The 19,244-nt window shown below is 41.1% G+C and overlaps 1 protein-coding gene across 3 annotated transcripts in view, besides 2 other annotated features; it reads left to right on the top strand.

The window, feature by feature from the left end:
• The window catches only part of OTUD7A (OTU deubiquitinase 7A), a 395,276-nt gene that overhangs the window by 244,845 nt on the left and 131,187 nt on the right, over positions 1 to 19,244 (top strand). The window lies entirely within an intron of this gene.
• Positions 15,792 to 16,346: an enhancer, noted in NCBI's record as "H3K27ac-H3K4me1 hESC enhancer chr15:31901686-31902240 (GRCh37/hg19 assembly coordinates)". NCBI's record gives its function as "activates a minimal SCP1, AML or CMV promoter by ChIP-STARR-seq in primed H9 embryonic stem cells {active_cell/tissue: H9 hESC(primed)}" and the evidence as "EXISTENCE:reporter gene assay evidence [ECO:0000049][PMID:30033119]".
• Positions 16,347 to 16,902: an enhancer, noted in NCBI's record as "H3K27ac-H3K4me1 hESC enhancer chr15:31901130-31901685 (GRCh37/hg19 assembly coordinates)". NCBI's record gives its function as "activates a minimal SCP1, AML or CMV promoter by ChIP-STARR-seq in primed H9 embryonic stem cells {active_cell/tissue: H9 hESC(primed)}" and the evidence as "EXISTENCE:reporter gene assay evidence [ECO:0000049][PMID:30033119]".

Below are 19,244 nucleotides of genomic sequence, written 5' to 3'. Positions count from 1 at the left end.
TGCTAAGTAGTGTTTCATTGTGTGGCTATACCACAGTTTGTTTTTTTATCCATCACTATTTAATGGGTATCTGGGTGGTTTCTGGCTTTGGCTACTATCAGTAAAGCTACTACAGACATTTCTGTAGAAGTCTTTTTATGGAGATGTGGCTTTGCTTTTCTTGGGTAAACACCTATGAGTGAACTCTCTGGATCCCAGGTAGATGTAGCTAGGTCATAGGCAGATGTATGTTGAGTATTACAGAAACTGCTAGACCTTTTCAATTGTGTTCATATTGTTTTATACTCCCACTGTAACAACATACGAGAGTCCTGCTTGCTCCATCATCTTTGATGTTTAGTGTTGTCAGTCTTTTTAACTTTAGCCATTCTGGTGCATTTGTATGTCATTCCATTGCAGTTCTTTTTTTTTTTTTTTAAATCAGGAATGTTTAGTCGAAGTCTGATATTGTGGTGTACTAGTCATCTATTGCCGCATACAAAAATCATCCCAAAATTTAGCAGCCTAAGATAACCATCATATATTTCTTACACCATTTCTGAGGCTCATAAATCCAAGCGTGGTGTAACTGGCTCAGGGTCCTTCTCGAGGCTACAGTCTAGCTGGGGCTGCAGGACCTTCTTCCATCCCCACTCGCAGGGCTGCTGGTGGCCTCAATTCTTCACTGGCGGTCAGCAGGAGACCTCAGAGCCTCACCACAGCCTCTTCCCTGGCTGCCTGGGCAACCTTGTAAAGCATCAGTTGACTTCCCTCAGAGTGAGTGATGAGGGAGAGATAAAGCGACAGCTTATGGTGGAAGCCACAGTGTGTCATGGAGTAATCTCGGAAGTGACATCCCATCACATAGGCTATAATCCATCGGTCATACAGACTAACCCTAGTACAAAGTGGAGGGGGCCACACAGAGGGATCCTTGGGGGCTATCTTGGAGGGTGGCCACCCCGTGGGGAGAAGGTGGAAGCAGCCACCTCAGGGAGGCAGATTGTAATCAGGACCCATAGGAGCAGCATGGAGCCCATGTGTTTCTGTGCAGTTTGCTGAAGCCAGTCAGAACATCCTGAGTCTGACTTATCACCCTTCTCTGGCCTGCTGGGGTTCCTGAACCAAGTAGTTTAACTTGCCAAGCCTTAGTTTCTGCAGTTATAAAATGGTGGTATGAATGAATGAAACAAGGTATCCGCAACACTGAAATGGAACATAATAGGGCCTGAACAGAGGACAGTTATGAATATTTCCATACAAAATGCAATTTTATGCCCTTCATCAATGGTCATTTTCTCTCATTTTACTTTTGAGGACTAGATTTGCCAAAGTCCCTCTGGGGCCAACCCAGTACACCACTGAGAAGCCCTTTGAAAAAGCCAGCTTTATCATCGTTTTGTTTTTATTTCTTGATATTTGGAAAGTTTTCTTCCTTCTGTTTCTATGTGTCCTCTGCCTAACTAGTCATGGTGACTCCTTGGATAGTATTCTCCATGGTTTCTTGTGAAATATTAATGCTTACCTTGCAATCTTGCAGCTTTTAGCATGAATTATTTTGCTGATTATAATCAGGCCTCTAGGATAAGTACCACTGATTTTAATTTAATGTTAAATTTGTACTGAGTGAATCATAATGGTCAGACTAATCTAAATGGTGCAGGTATATAAAACTACATGCCCATGTGCTCAGTTCCTGCTTGTTGATGTTTTGTTATAAAGTAACAGCTTTTTAACATCAAATGTATTCCAAGTAGCCACTTTACAGTGACACTGCAAAACCTACTACAAAGCAAAGCCAATAAGACAAAGTCAAAATATTTCAAAGTTTCTTATTGAAGTATTGCATACCTCTAGAAATTACAACATAACTGTACAACTTAATGAATTCTCAGAAAATGTAGCATCAGTGCAAATATCATTGAAATCAAATCGGTGGGGCAGTTCCAAGTTGGCCGAATAGGAACAGCTCCAGTCTACAGCTCCCAGCGTGAGCGATGCAGAAGACAGGTGATTTCTGCATTTCCAACTGAGGTACCGGGTTCATCTCACTGGGGCTTGTCAGACAGTGGGTGCAGGACAGTGGGTGCAGCGCACCGAGCATGAGCCGAAGCATGGTGAGGCATCACCTCACCCGGGAAGTGCAAGGGGTCAGGGAATTCCCTTTCCTAGACAAGCAAAGCTGTCACAGATGGCACCTGGAAAATCAGGTCACTCCCACCCTAATACTGCGCTTTTCCAATGGTCTTAGCAAATGGAACACCAGGAGATTATATCCCACGCCTGGCTCGGAGGGTCCCACGCCCACGGAGCCTCGCTCATTGCTAGCACAGCAGTCTGAGATCAAACTGCAAGGCGGCAGTGAGGCTGGGGGAGGGGCGCCCGCCATTGCTCAGGCTTGAGTAGGTAAACAAAGCGGCCAGGAAGCTCAAACTGGGTGGAGCCCACTGCAGCTCAACGAGGCCTGCCTGCCTCTGTAGACTCCACCTCTGGGGACAGGGCATAGCTGAACAAAAGGCAGCACAAACCTCTGCAGACTTAAATGTCCCAGTCTGACAGCTTTGAAGAGAGTAGTGGTTCTCCCAGCACGGAGTTTGAGATCTGAGAACAGACAGACTGCTTTCTCAAGTGGGTCCCTGACCTCTGAGTAGCCTAACTGGAAGGCACCCCCGAAGTAGGGGCAGACTGACACCTCACACGGCTGGGTACCCCTCTGAGACGAAACTTCCAGAGGAAAGATCAGGCAGCAACATTCGCTGTTCAGCAATATTCGCTGTTCTGCAGCCTCTGCTGCTGATACCCAGGCAAACAGGTTCTGGAGTGGACCTCCAGCAAACTCCAACAGACCTGCAGCTGAGGGTCCTGACTATTAGAAGGAAAACTAACAAACAGAAAGGACATCCACACCAAAACCCCATCTGTACGTCACCATCATCAAAGACCAGAGGTAGATAAAACCACAAAGATGGGGAAAAAACAGAGCAGAAAAACTGAAAATTCTAAAAATCAGAGTGCCTCTCCTCCTCCAAAGGAACGAAGCTCCTCACCAGCAATGGAACAAAGCTGGACGGAGAATGACTTTGACGAGTTGAGAGAAGAAGGCTTCAGACGATCAAACTTTTCTGAGCTAAAGGAGGAAGTTAGAACCCATCACAAAGAAGTTAAAAACCTTGAAAAAAGATTAGACGAATGGCTAGCTAGAATAACCAATGCAGAGAAGTCCTTAAATGACCTGATGGAGCTGAAAACCATGGCATGAGAACTACGCGACGAATGCACAAGCTTCAGTAGCCAATTCCATCAACTGGAAGAAAGGGTATCAGTGATTGAAGATCAAATGAATGATATGAAGCAAGAAGAGAAGTTTAGAGAAAAAAGAATAAAAAGAAACAAACAAAGCCTCCAAGAAATATGGGACTATGTGAAAAGACCAAATCCACGTCTGATTGGTGTACCTGAAAGTGAGGGGGCGAATGGAACCAAGTTGGAAAACACTCTGCAGGATATTATCCAGGAGAACTTCCCCAACCTAGCAAGGCAGGCCAACATTCACATTCAGGAAATACAGAGAACACCACAAAGATACTCCTTGAGAAGAGCAACTCCAAGACACATAATTGTCAGATTCACCAAAGTTGAAATGAAGGAAAAAATGTTAAGGGCAACCAGAAAGAAAAGTCGGGTTACCTACAAAGGGAAGCCCATCAGACTAACAGCTGATCTCTCGGCAGAAACTCCACAAGCCAGAAGAGAGTGGGGGCCAATATTCAACATTGTTAAAGAAAAGAATTTTCAACCCAGAATTTCATATCCAGCCAAACTAAGCTTCATAAGTGAAGGAGAAATAAATCCTTTACAGACAAGCCAATGCTGAGAGATTTTGCCACCACCAGACCTGCCCTACAAGAGCTCCTGAAGGAAGCACTAAATGTGGAAAGGAACAACTGGTACAGCCACTGCAAAAACATGCCAAATTGAAAAGACCATCGATGCTAGGAAGAAACTGCATCAACTAACGAGCAAAATAACCAGCTAACATCATAATGGCAGTATCAGATTCACACATAACAATATTAACCTTAAATGTAAATGGGCTAAATGCTCCAATTAAAAGACACGGACTGGCAAATAGGATAAAGAGTCAAGAGACATCAGTGTGCTGTATTCAGGAAATCCATCTCACATGCAGAGACACAAATAGGCTCAAAATAAAGGGATGGAGGAAGATCTACCAAGCAAATGGAAAACAAAAAAAAAGGTAGGGGTTGCAATCCTAGTCTCTGATAAAACAGACTTTAAACCAACAAAGATCAAAAGAGACAAGGCCATTACATAATGGTAAAGGGATCAATTCAGCAAGAAAAGCTAACTATCCTAAATATATATGCACCCAATACAGGAGCACCCAGATTCATAAAGCAAGTCCTTAGAGACCTACAAAGAGACTTAGACTCCCACACAATAATAATGGGAGACTTTAACACCCCACTGTCAACGATAGACAGATCAACGAAACAGAAAGTTAACTAGGATATCCAGGAATTGAACTCAGCTCTGCAGCAGGCAGACCTAGTAGACATCTACAGAACTTTCCACCCCAAATCGACAGAATATACATTCTTCTCAGCACCACGTCACACTTATTCCAAAATTGACCACGTAATTGGAAGTAAAACACTCCTCAGCAAATGTAAAAAAACAGAAATTATAGCAAACTGTTTCTCAGACCACAGTGCAATCAAACTAGTACTCAGGACTAAGAAACTCTCTCAAAACCGCTCAACTACATGGAAACTGAACAACCTGCTCCTGAATGACTACTGGGTACATCACGAAATGAAGGCAGAAATAAAGATGTTCTTTGAAACCAACGAGAACAAAGACACAACATACCAGAATCTCTGGGACACATTCAAAGCGGTGTGTGGAGGGAAATTTATAGCACTAAATGCCCACAAGAGAAAGCAGGAAAGATCCAAAATCGACACCCTAACGTCACAGTTAAAAGAACTAGAAAAGCAAGAGCAAACACATTCAAAAGCTAGCAGAAGGCAAGAAATAACTAAAATCAGAGCAGAACTGAAGGAAATAGAGACACAAAAAACCCTTCAAAAAATTAATGAATCCAGGAGCTGGTTTTTTGAAAGGATCAACAAAATTGATAGACTGCTAGCAAGACTAATAAAGAAGAAAGAGAGAAGAATCAAATAGACACAATAAAAAATGATAAAGGGGATATCACCACCGATCCCACAGAAATACAAACTACCATCAGAGAATACTATAAACACCTCTACACAAATAAACTAGAAAATCTAGAAGAAATGGATAAATTCCTGGACACATACACCCTCCCAAGACTAAACCAGGAAGAAGTTGAATCTCTGAATAGACCAATAACAGTCTCTGAAATTGAGGCAATAATGAATAGCCTACCAACCAAAAAAAGTCCAGGACCAGACAGATTCACAGCCGAATTCTACCAGAGGTAAAAGGAGGAGCTGGTACCATTCCTTCTGAAACTATTCCAATCAATAGAAAAAGAGGGAATCCTTCCTAACTCATTTTATGAGGCCAGCATCATCCTGATACCAAAGCCTGGCAGAGACACACACAAAAAAGAGAATTTTAGACTAATATCCCTGATGAACATCGATGCAAAAATCCTCAATAAAATACTGGCAGACCGAATCCAGCAGCACCTCAAAAAGCTTGTCCACCATGATCAAGTGGGCTTCATCCCTGGGATGCAAGGCTGGTTCAACATACACAAATCAATAAATGTAATCCAGCATATAAACAGAACCAAAGACAAAAACCATGTGATTATCTCAATAGATGCAGAAAAGGCCTTTGACAAAATTCAACAACCCTTGATGCTAAAAACTCTCAATAAATTAGGTATTGATGGGACATATCTCGAAATAATAAGAGCTATCTATTACAGACCCACAGCCAATATCATACTGAATGGGCAAAAACTGGAAGCATTCCCTTTGAAAACTGGCACAGACAGGGATGCCCTCTCTCACCATTCCTATTCAACATAGTGTTGGAAGTTCTGGCCAGGGCAGTCAGGCAGGAGAAAGAAATAAAGGGTATTCAATTAGGAAAAGAGGAAGTCAAATTGTCCCTGTTTGCAGATGACATGATTGTATATCTAGAAAACCCCATTGTCTCAGCCCAAAATCTCCTTAAGCTGATAAGCAACTTCAGCAAAGTCTCAGGATACAAAATCAATGTGTAAAAATCACAAGCATTCTTATGCACCAATAACAGACAGAGAGCCAAATCATGAGTGAACTCCCATTCACAATTGCTTCAAAGAGAATAAAATACCTAGGAATCCAACTTACAAGGGATGTGAAGGACCTCTTCAGGGAGAACTACAAACCACTCAATGAAATAAAAGAGGATACAAACAAATGGAAGAACATTCCATGCTCATGGATAGGAAGAATCAATATCGTCAAATGGCCATACTGCCCAAGGTAATTTATAGATTCAATGCCATCCCCATCAAGCTACCAGTGACTTTCTTCACAGAATTGGAAAAAACTACTTTAAAGTTGATATGGAACCAAAAAAGAGCCCGCATTGCCAAGTCAATCCTAAGCCAAAAGAACAAAGCTGGAGGCATCACCCTACCTGACTTCAAACCATACTACAAGGTTGCAGTAACCAAAACAGCATGGTACTGGTACCAAAACAGAGATATAGATCAATGGAGCAGAACAGAGCCCTCAGAAATAATACCACACATCTACAACCATCTGATCTTTGACAAGCCTGACAAAAACAAGAAATGGGGAAAGGATTCCCTATTTAACAAATGGTGCTGGGAAAACTGGCTAGCCATATGTAGAAAGCTGAAACTGGATCTCTTCCTTACACCTTATACAAAAATTAATTCAAGATGGATTAAAGACTTAAACATTAGACCTAAAACCATAAAAACCCTAGAAGAAAACCTAGGCAATACCATTCAGGACATAGGCATGGGCAAGGACTCATCTCTAAAACACCAAAAGCAATGGCAACAAAAGCCAACATTGACAAATGGGATCTAATTAAACTAAAGGGCTTCTGCACAGCAAAAGAAACTACCATCAGAGTGAACAGGCAACATACAGATTGGGAGAAAATTTTTGCAATTTACTTATCTGACAAAGGGCTAATATCCAGAATCTACAAAGAACTCGAACAAATTTAAAAGAAAAAAACAACCCCATCAACAAGTGGGCAAAGGATATGAACAGACGCTTCTCAAAAGAAGACATTTATGCAGCCAACAGACACATGAAAAAATGCTCATCATCATTGGCCATCAGAGAAATGCAAATCAAAACCACAACGAGATACCATCTCACACCAGTTAGAATGGCAATCATTAAAAAGTCAGGAAACAACAGATGCTGGAGAGGATGTGGAGAAATAGGAACACTTTTACATTGTTGGTTGGACTGTAAACTAGTTCAACCATTGTGGAAGACAGTGTGGCGATTCCTCAGGTATTTAGAACTGGAAATACCATTTGACCTAGCCATCCCATTACTGGGTATATACCCAAAGGATTATAAATCATGCTGCTATAAAGACACATGCACATGTATGTTTATTGAGGCACTATTCACAATAGCAAAGACTTGGAACCAACCCAAATGTCCATCAATGATAGACTGGATTAAGAAAATGTGGCACATATACACCATGGAATACTATGCAGCCATAAAAAATGATGAGTTCATGTCCTTTGTAGGGACATGGATGAAACTGGAAACCATCATTCTCAGCAAACTATCACAAGAACAAAAAACCAAACACCGCATGTTCTCACTCATAGGTGGGAATTGAACAATGAGAACACTTGGACACAGGAAGGGGAACATCACACACCAGGGCCTGTTTTGGGGTGGGCGGAGGGGGCAGGGATAGCATTAGGAGATATGCGTAATGTGAATGACGAATTAATGGGTGCAGCACACCAACATGGCACATGTATACATATGTAACAAACCTGCATGTTGTGCACATGTACCCTAGAACTTAAAGTATAATAAAAAAATTAAAAAATAATAAAATAAAAATAAAAAAGGAAATCAAATCAAACTGTGACTATCAGCAGCCAGAAATCTCTTTCCTTCCCTCTTCCTATCACTGCACCTTCTTTCTCCCCAGAGGTAACTAGAACTACAGTCATGACTTCTAACACCTTAGGTTAGTCTTTCCTGTGCTTAAGCTTTGTATACATGGAATCATGCAGTATATATTCCTGTGTATCTGCCTTCTTTTGCACATAGACACATAGATATAAATGTATATAAGTCTTGCCAGAGTTATCAGTTATCTTTTTTTCTTTTTTTTTTGACATGGAGTCTCACTCTGTCACCAGGGGAGTGCAGTGGCACAGTCTGGGCTCACTGCAACCTCTGTCTCCCGGGTTCAAGCAATTCTTCTGCCTCAGCCTCCCAAGTAGCTGGGACTACAGGCACCTGCCACCACGGCCAGCTAATTTTTGTATTTTTAGTAGAGACGGGGTTTCACCATGTTGGTCAGGATGGTCTCAATCTCTTGACCTCGTGATCCATCCACCTCGGCCTCCCAAAGTGCTGGGATTACAGGCGTGAGCCACTGCACCCGGCCAAGTTATCGATTATTCTAAGTCTTTCCAAAGAACCATTTTTTGGCTTCATCGATTCTCTTTATCATTTGTCGTCTGTTCCATTAAAATCTGATGTTATCCTCATAAATGTTTGATATATTTGGTTGTAGATCTACCCTCTCAGCATTTGTGAGTTCTTTTCTTGGTCTTGTTGTTTCTCCTTTTTTCCTTCTTTATTTGTTGGTTAAATTTGCTATTTCTTAAAACTGTTTGAGATCGGTACTCAGATCAGGGGTTGGCAAACTTCTTTCCATGGCAGGACAGATAGTAAGTACTTTGGGCTTTGCAAGCTACACATGCTTCCTGTCACATATTCTTTCTTTTAAACTTAAAATGTAAAAGCTGGTTGGGCACGGTGGCTCATGCCTGTAATCCCAGCACTTTGGGAGGCCGAGGTGGGCAGATCACCTGAGGTCAGGAGTTCAAGACCAGCCTGGCCAACAAGGTGAAACCCCGTCTCTACTGAAAATACAAAAATTAGCCAGGCACAGTGGTGGTTGTCTGTAATCCCAGTACTCGGGAGGCTGAGGCAGGAGAATCGCTTGAGCCTGGGAGGTGGAGGTTTCAGTGAGCCAAGATTGCGCCACTGCACTCCAGCTTGGAGACAGAGCAAGACTCTGTCTCAAATAAATGAATAAAAGTAAAATGTAAAAGCTATTCTTAGTTTATGCATTGTACAAAAACAGGGGCAGAGTGGAATTGGCCCATGGGTCATAATTTGCAAACCCCCAACTTAGATTGTTGAGGCCCAGCCTCTTCTTTTCACATATATATATAAATGGTTATACATTTCCAGTTAATTCCTCAGCATGTAAGGATTTTCCACTTCTCTTTCTGTTATTGATTTCTGTCAAGCGCACACACCAGACAAGGCAAGAGCAAGGTCTGCCTGATTCAACCAGTAAGGATGCGACAGGCCAGTTTTAGATGCAGACGGTTTATTACTTACATAGACAGCAAAGGAGAGAGTAGCCAAGGTGCCAGCTCCCAGGTCCTTGTTTCACATGCCAGAAAGCATGACACTGAAACAAAAGGGATGGAGTGCTGCATGAGTTGTGCAAGACCCCATTGCTGGGGAGCCTGTTCTGCGCTGCAGCTAAGAGGTTTCACCGCTTTATTACAGTTTTATTTTCATTCATGTCTACCATCCTGAGGGGGTGGGAGAAGAAAGGCCCATACCTCATCAGAACAGTGAGGCCAGGTGGAGCTGTCTGATGACTGCCTTGCAGGGGAGAGAGAAGGTGAGGGAGAGATGTCCTCAGAGCAGTGCCTGACAGACCTCCCATCTGCCCCTGTGCCAGAAGGATCCCAAGGCATTCTGCCAAGACTCAGACCGCGGTTGAAGCCTGTGCCTGTGGGGTCTCTGTTGGTACCTGGAAGGTCACCTGGGCACGGTGGCACAGCCAGTCCCCTACAATTCCCTGTCCTCTTCCAGTTGGTCAGAGAAGAGAGTCTGAATGATTTCAGCCTTTTGAAATTTGGGACTTGCTTTATGGCCTAGCATATGATCAATTTTGGTAAACGTTCCATGTTCACAAAGAAACAAAAAGTGGATTTTGTGATTCTTGGTGCAGTGATCTGTATATGTTAATTGGATCGTATTTTTCATGTGATTTAAATCCATACTGATTATTTTTGTCTGCTTGTTCTATCAGCTACTGACAGCACTTTGTTAAAACCTCCAACTATGATCGTGGACTTGTATATTTCTCTTTATTTTCTGTCGATTTTTCCTTTATATAATTTGAAGTTAAGAATAGACTTGTCATAGCTTCCTGTAGGACTGATATTTTATTATAAACTTTTTTCTGTCATTACTAAAGTTTTATTTTCATTAACGTCAACTTGTCTGACATTGGTTTTTCTACATTAGCTCTTTTGATTAGTGTTTGCATGATATATTTTTAAAATCATTCTACTTTCAACCTTTGTGACAGTTTGTGATTCAGATGTAAGCAATGTAAAATTAAGGTTTTTTAAATCCAGTCTGATCATCTGTTTTTTACTTGAAGCATTTTAGTTTACCTACATTGGATGTGATAACTGATCTAGTTGGTTATAGATCTAACATCTCATTATTTGCTTTTGTTTGCCCTGTCATTTCCTTTTTCATCTTTCCTGCATAATTTTGTATAAATCAAAGTATTTATTAATGTTCTATTCTATTAGCTTCTTCCCGGTACATTCCTTTACTATTCTTTTGGTAGTTACGATAGAGGTTACGATATACATCCTTGACTATCGAGTTTCCCTTAAAATAGTACTTGTACCATACTTTGGACAATTCAAGGAACTTAGTACTTCTGAACACCATTTAGCCCCTTCTGCCTTGTATATTAATATTGTCCCATAATTTGATTCTCTTTCAAATTCCGTAGGGCAACGTTATTTTCTATAGGGTCAATACCCACTTGGCTATAATGATTTTCCGTTGTTCTTTATTTTTTCCTGTAGCTCTGAGCTTCAATCTGAGATTATTTCCTTCTACCTAAAGAACACCTTTTAGTATTTTCTATAGTGTGGTCCCCTGGTGATAAGTGTCTGAAATTTTTTTTTATTTTGCATCTGCTTTTAAAGAATAATTTTACAAGATATAGGACTGTAGACTGGCATTTATGTATGTATTTACTTATTTTTGAACTCTGAAGATATTCCATTTTCTTCTGGCCTTTATTATTTCCATTTAAAAGTCAAGGTAGTCTTTTTTCTTATACTGTTTCTAAAATATTTTCCTTTATCATAGGTTTTCAGCAGTTTTATTATAACATGCAGACTTGCATTTTTCTTATATTTATGCTCCTTGGGGTTCATACCACTTCTGGATCTGTGGCTTGATATCTTTCACTAATTTTAGAAAATTCTCAGTCATTGTCTTTTTTTTTCTATTTTTCCATAGGTTATTGGGGTGCAGGTCGTGTTCGGTTACATGAGTAAGTTCTTTAGTGGTGATCTGTGAGATTTTGGTGCACCCATCACCTGAGCAGTAATACACTGCACCCTATTTGTAGTCTTTTTTCCCTTGCCCTCCTCCCATTCTTCCCCCAAGTCCACAAGTCCATTGTATCATTCCTATGCCTTTGTGTCCTCTTAGCTTAGCTCCTACATATCAGTGAGAACATATGATGTTTGGTTTTTCATTCCTGAGTTACTTCACTTAGAGTAATAGTCTCCAATCTTATCCAGGTTGCTGCGAATGCCTTTGATTCATTCCCTTTTATGGCTGAGTAATATTCCATTGTGTATACATATATATATACACCACAGTTTCTTTATCTACTCATTGATTGATGGACATTTGGGTTGGTTCCACGATTTTGCAGTTGTGAATTGTGCAGCCACAAACATGCATGTACAAGTGTCTTTTTCATATAATAACTTCTTTTCCTCTAGGTGGATACCCAGTAGTGAGATTGCTAGATCAAATGGTAGTTCTAGTTCTTTAAGGAATCTCCATACTGTTTTCCATAGTGGTTGTACTAGTTTACATTCCCACCAGCAGTAGAAGTGTTCCCTGATCACTGCATCCATGCCTCAATCTACTGTTTTTTGATTTTTTTATTATGGCCATTCTTACAGGAGTAAGGTGGTATCACATTGTGGTTTTGATTTCCATTTCCCTGATCATTAATGATGTAGAGCATTTTTTCATATGTTTGTTGGCCATTTGTATATCTTCTTTTGAGAATTGTCTGTTCATGTCCTTAGCCCACTTTTTGACGGGATTGTTTGTTTTTTTCTTGCTGATTTGTTTGAGTTTGGGTTCTAGATTCTGGATATTAGTCCTTTCTCAAATGTATAGATTGTGAAGATTTTCTCCCACTCTGGAGGTTGTCTGTTTACTCTGCTGGCTGTTCCTTTTACCATGCAAAAGCTCTTTAGTTTAATTAAGTTCCAGCTATTTATCTTTGTTTTTATTGCATTTGCTTTTGGGTTCTTGCTCATGAAATCCTTGCCTAAGCCAATGTCTAGAAGGGGTTTTCCAATGTTATCTTCTAGAATTTTTATAGTTTCAGGTCTTATATATAAGTCATTAATCCCTCTTGAGTTGATTTTTGTAAAAGGTGAGAGATGAGGATCCTGTTTCATTCTCCTACATGTGGCTAGCCAGTTATCGCAGCACCATTTGTTGAAAAGGGTGTCCTTTCCCCACTTTATGTTTTTGTTTGCTTTGTCAAAGATCAGTTGGCTGTAAGTATTTGGGCTTATTGCTGGGTACTCTATTCTGTTCCATTGGTCTATGTGCCTACTTTTGTACCAGTACCATGCTGTTTTGGTGACTATGGCCTTAAAGTATAGTTTGAAATCAGGTAGTGTGATGCCTCCAGATTTGTTCTTTTTGCTTAGTCTTACTTTGGCTATGCAGGCTCTTTTTTGGTTCCATATGAATTTTAGAATTGTTTTTTCTAATTCTGTGAAGAATGACGATGGTATTTTGATGGGAATTGTGTTGAATTTGTAGATTGCTTTTGGCAGTATGGTCATTTTCTCAATATTGAGTCTACCTATCCATGAGCATGGGACGTGTTTCCATTTGTTTGTGTCATCTATGATTTATTTCACCAGGGTTTTGTAGTTTTCTTTGTAGAGGTCTTTCTCCTCCTCAGTTAGGTATATTCCTAGGTATTTTATTTTTTTGCAGCTATTGTAAAAGGGGTTGAGTTCTTGATTTGATTATCCGCTTGGTCACTCTTGGTATATAGAAGAGTTACCAATTTGTGTACATTAATCTTGTATCCAGAAACTGGTGAATTCTTTTAGCAGTTCTAGGAGCTTTCTGGAGGAGTCTTCAGGGTTTTCAAGGTAAACAATCATATTGTTAGCCAACATTGACAGTTTGACTTCCTCATCACCGATTTGGATGCCTTTTATTTCTTTCTCTTGTCTGATTGCCCTGGCTAGGACTTCCAGTACTATGTTGAAGAAGAGTAGTGAGAGTGGGCATCCTTGTCTTGTTCCAGTTCTCAGAGGGAATGCTTTCAACTTTTCCCATTCAGTATTATGTTGGCTGTGGGTTTGTCATAGATGGCTTTTATTACATTGAGGTATGTCTCTTGTTGCTGATTTTGCCAAGAGTTTTAATCTTAAAGGATGCTGGATTTGTCAAATGCTTTTTCTGCATCTATTGAAATGATCACATGATTTTTGTTTTTAATTCTGTTTATGTGGTGTATCACATTTATCAACTTGCATATGTTAAATCGTTTCTGCATTCCTGGTATGAAACCCACTTGATCATGGTGGATTATCTTTTTGATATGTTGTTGGATTTGGTTAGCTAGTATTTTGTTAAGGATTTTAGCATCTTTGTTCAGCAAGGATATCGGTCTATAGTTTTTCTTTTTTGGTTATGTCCTTCCCTGGTTTTGGTATTAGGGTGATGCTGGCTTCATAGAATGCATCAGGGAGGGTCCCTTCTTTCTCTATCTTGTGGAATAGTGTCAAAAGAATTGGTACCAATTCTTTGTCTGGTAGAATTCTGCTGTGAATCCGTCTGGTCCTGGACTTTTTTTTGTTGGTAATTTTTAAATTACCATTTCAATCTCCCTGCTTGTTATTGGTCTGTTCAGGGTATCTAATTCTTCCTGATTTAAGCTGAGGGTTGTATTTTTCCAGGAATTTATCCATCTCTTCTATGTTTTCTAGTATGTGAGTAAAGATGTTCATAGTAGCCTTGAATGATCATTTGTATTTCTGTGGTGTCAGTTGTAATATCTCCCATTTCATTTCTTAATGAGGTTATTTGGATTTTCTCTCTTCTTTTCTTGGTTAATCTTACTAATGGTCTGTCAATTTTATTTATCTTTTCAAAGAACCAGCTTTTTGTTTCATTTATCTTTTGTATTTGTTTGTTTGTTTGTTTCAGCTTCATTTAGTTCTGCTCTGATCTTGGTTATTTCCTTTATTCTGCTGGGTTTGGCTTTGGTTTGTTCTTGTTTCTCTAGTTCCTTGAGGTGTGACCTGAGAATGTCAGTTTGTGCTCTTTCAGTCTTTTTGATGTAGGCGTGTAGGGCTATGAAGTTTCCTCTTAGCACCTCCTTTGCTATATCCCAGAGATTTTGATAGGTTGTGTCGTTATTGTCATTCAGCTTGAAGAATTTTTTAATTTCCATCTTGATTTCATTTTTGACCCAATGATCATTCAGGAATAGGTTACTTAATTTCCATGTGTTTGCATGGTTTTGAAGGTTCCTTTTGGAGTTGATTTCCAGTTTGATTCCAGGGTGGTCTGACAGAGTGCTTAATATAATTTCATTTTTCTGGCCGGGCATGGTGGCTCACGCCTGTAATCCCAGCACTTTGGGAGTCCGAGGCAGGCAGATCACGAGGTCAGGAGATCGAGACCATCCTGGCTAACACGGTGAAACCCCGCCTCTACTAAAAATCCAAAAATACAAAAAATTAGCCAGGCGTGGTGGCGGGCGCCTGTAGTCCCAGCTACTTGGGAGGCTGAGGCAGGAGAATGGCGTGAACCTGGGAGGCGGAGCTTGCAGTGAGCCAAGGTTGCGCCATTGCATTCCAGCCTGGGCAACAGAGTGAGACTCCGTCTCAAAAAAAAAAAAAAAAAAAAAATATATATATATATATATATATATAATTTCATTTTTCTTAAATTTATTGAGGCTTGTTTTGTGGCCTATCATATGGTCTATCTTGGAGAAAGTCCCATGTGCTGTTGAATAGAATGTGTATTCTACAGTTCTTGGATGAAATGTTCTGTATATATCTGTTAAGTCCATTTGTTCTAAGGTATAGTTTAAATCCATTGTTTCTTTGTTGACTTTTCTGTCTTGATGACCTGTCTAGCGCTGTCAGTGGAGTATTAAAGTTCCCCACTCTTATTGTGTTGCCATCTATCTCATTTCTTAGATCTATTAGTACCTGTTGTATAGATTTGGGAGCTCCGGTGTTAGGTGCATATATGGTTAGGATTGTGATGTTTTCCAGGACAAGGCTTTTTAGCATTATATAATACCCCTCCTCCATGTCTCTTTTAACTGCTGTTGCTTTAAAGTTTGTTTTGTCTGATATAAGAACAGCTACTTCTGCTTTTGTTTTATCACATTAGCAGAGCTGATTTTCTGGTTCCTTCTCATTTGGTAGGCTCTGTCAGAGGGAAGGTCTAGAGCTGAAGGCTGTTCAGATTCTTTTGTCCCACAGGGTGTTCCCTTGATGTAGTATTCTCCCCCTTTCCTGTGAGCTGAGCTGCAGTGATTGCTATCTCTCTTCTGGGTCTAGCCATCCAGCAAGTCTGCCCGGCTCTGGGCTGGTACTGGGGGTTGTCTGCACAAAGTCCTGTGATGTGAAGCATCTATGGGTCTCTCAGCGATGGATGCCAGCACCTGTTCCAGTGGAGGTGGCAGGGGGGTGAAATGGACTCTGTGAGCGTTCTTAGCTTTGGTGGTTTAATGTTCTGTTTTTGTGCCGGTTGGCCTCCTGACGGGAGGTAGCGCTTTCGAGAGAGCATCAGCTGTGCTAGTATGGAGAGGGACCAGCAGTGGGTGGGACCCTAGAACTCCCAAGAGTATATGCCCTTTGTCCTCAGCTACCAGAGGAGGTAGGGAAGGACCATCAATGGGGGGCAGGGCTAGGCGTGTCTGAGCTCAGACTCTCCGTTGGGTCTTGCTGTGCTGCGGCTGCTGTAGGGAATGGGGGTGAGGTTCCCAGGTCAATGGAGTTGTGTTCCTGGGAGGATTATGGCTGCCTCTGCTGAGTCATGCAGGCTGTCAGGGAAGTGGGGCAATTCGGTAGTCACAGGCCTCACCCAGCTCCCACACAATCTGAAGGGCCAGTCTCACTTCCACCGTGTGCCTGCTAACGGCACCAAGTTTGTTTCCTGGCAGTGGGCAAGCAAAGCTGAGAACTTACCCCAGGCTATCCACCTCCCAGATGCAAAAGAAAAGGGCTTTAGTTCCTCCCCATCCTGTGGAGGCTACACGTCAGATTCGCGCCTTCCCCTGAGTTCTGGCCAGGAGGCTCTTGCCCAGTTCAAATTGTTAAAAAGTTCAGCTTGAGACTTCCTTTTCCTTTGCCTCTGACTGCCCCCCGATCCCTGTGGTGACAGGCAAGAATGGCCTGCTTGGGGACCCAGTGAGCTCCCAGGGCCTTTCCCGCTGCCTCCTCTACCCCTGTATTTCGCTCAGCTCTCTAAATTGACTCTGCTCCAGGTAAGGTCAGAAACTTCTCCCACAAACTAGACCTTCAGTTTCCCCAGTGAGAGTGTGTGTTTGGGGGCAGAGGATTTCCCTTTCCTGCTTCTGCAGTTTGGGCACTCCCAGTATTTGGGGCATCTACCAGGTCCTGCAGGAGCAGTCTGCTTCTTTCAGAGGGTCTATAGATTCCTGGTTTATTCCTGCAGTCATTCTGGATCTAAAATTCATGATGCGAGCCTCCGCACGCTGCTCTGTTCTTCCAAGTTGGAGCTACAGTCTAGTCCTGCCTCATGTCCACCATTATCTTTTAAAATATTGCTTCTATCCCATCCTGTATATTCTTCCTTTCTGGAACTCAGCTACAGCTGGTCACTGACTTATGATAGTTCAACTTACGATTTTTCAACTTTATAATAGGCACTTACAGTATTTTTGATTTAGGATGGGTTTGTTGGGACATAACTCCATGGCAAGTTGAGGAGCTTCTGTGCACATGTGTCAAAAAGCCCCTTTCCCATGCTTATGTGTATGGTCTTGTGCTTTTAGCTCTCATTCCACACCTCCACCTCCCACTGTGTGTCTGTGTGTCTGCATGTCTGTAAGTCTGCTTCAAACAATATTTTCTTCTGAACTTATCTTTCACTTTATTTATTCTCTTTTCTTGATTGCCCAGTCAGCTCTTAACCATATGCACCGAGTTCTTATTTTTAGTTCATCTATTTTTCAGTTCTAGACTGGACTTATTTTTATGTTTCTCAATTCAATTCCCTGCCAAAATTCTTTTTTTTTCTTCTTTGAGATGGAGTCTCAGTCTCCAGGCTGGAGTGCAGTGCCACAATCTCAGCTCACTGCAACCTCCGTCTCCCGGGTTCAAGCGATTCTCCTGCCTCAGCCTCCCAAGTAGCTGGGACTACAGGCATGTGCCACCATGCGCAGCTAATTTTTGTATTTTTAGTAGAGACGGGGTTTCACCATGTTGGCCAGGATGGTCTCGATCTCCTGACCTCATGATCCGCCTGCCTCAGCCTCCCAAGGTGCTGGGATTACAGGCATGAGCCACTGCACCCAGCCCAAAATTCTTTAACATCTACCATATTAAATATAATTATTTTAGACTACAGTCATGCATCACTTAATGATGAGATACATTCTAAGAAATGCATTGTTAGGCAACTTCCCCATTGTGCAAACATCACAGAGTTCATTTACACAAACCTAGATGGTGCAGCCTACTACACACCTAGGCTATATGGTATAGCCTACTGTTCCTAGGCTACAAACCTGTACAGCATGTTACTGCACTCAGTACCGTAGGTAATTGTAACACAATACTAAGTATTTGTGCATGTAATCCTATATAAATATAGAAAAGGTAATACATTGCACTAGAACATTATGTCACCTTCAACATCACTAGGCAATAGGAATTTTTCAGCTCCATTTTAATCTTAAGGGACCACTGGTAATTTTAATTGGGTCTTGGATATTATATATTAAGATTTTGAGATATAATTTTAGGCTATGGGTGATTTTATTTTTTTTCCTGAGAAAGTGAAGTTTGCTTATTTTAGGCAACTGGGGTGAGGACATTAGTAATCCAAGGCCACTTTAAGCCAATCAGGTATTTAAGTAATTTGAAGCTGGCCTTGATTCCCTACTATGGCTAGTTTGTTTTTAGTTTACTCTCACTCTTGGGGTATAGCCCTTCAAGTTCCCAGCCAAAAGCCTGGGGTGTTGGCCAAGGTTTGTTCTTCATTGAGGGCCCTGAGTACTAGTTTCTATCTGCCCAGATCCATAAGACTTGTTAAAAGCTCTCTTCAGCTCCTCAGCCTCTCAGCCACTGCTTTTGTCACTGGCAATATTCCCAATGGGGAAAGTAACTCCAAATGCTAGTTTATCTCTCTTGTCTCTAATCCTCTCCTAGTTCTCAGCTTAACATTCCTCACTGCCTTTATACTCTCTGATGTCATCAAACAGATCTCTTTCTTATATTTTGCCATGTTTCCTAGTTATTCCAGTGTCAGTATTGTTGTAAAACAACCTACTCCACCATTTCCAGAAGCGAAACTCCCCAGGGCAGTTTGAATTTGTTTACTGTGCTATCACTGATAAACACTTACTTCATTGCTGGAATAAGCGGACAGTAGTAGTTTTGTGTATGAAAATTTTTATGAAAGAATTCTAAACTGATTTATATGATATATAATGTCAGCATTATATAACTAATCTTGAAATAAAATGTTATTACTTAACTCACACATGAAAAAAAGTGTTTGTAAATATTACCCATTTAATGCCTAGAGGGTATCTGGTTTTGCCAATTGAATAAAGGGCTGCTGACTTCCAAAACAGAAGTCGTGCGTTAGACAGTTAATGTGACAGATGTTGACATCAGCTTTGTAGTGTTACAGTTTACACAGATGAATTTGGTGCAGGATGTGTAATTCCATTAC

Source organism: Homo sapiens, chromosome 15 (assembly GCF_000001405.40).
Source record: "Homo sapiens chromosome 15, GRCh38.p14 Primary Assembly".
In the NCBI taxonomy this organism is placed as follows: Eukaryota; Metazoa; Chordata; class Mammalia; order Primates; family Hominidae; genus Homo; species Homo sapiens.
The sequence above is the reverse complement of the archived record's forward strand: the minus strand, read 5'-3'. Positions and strand labels throughout refer to the sequence as shown.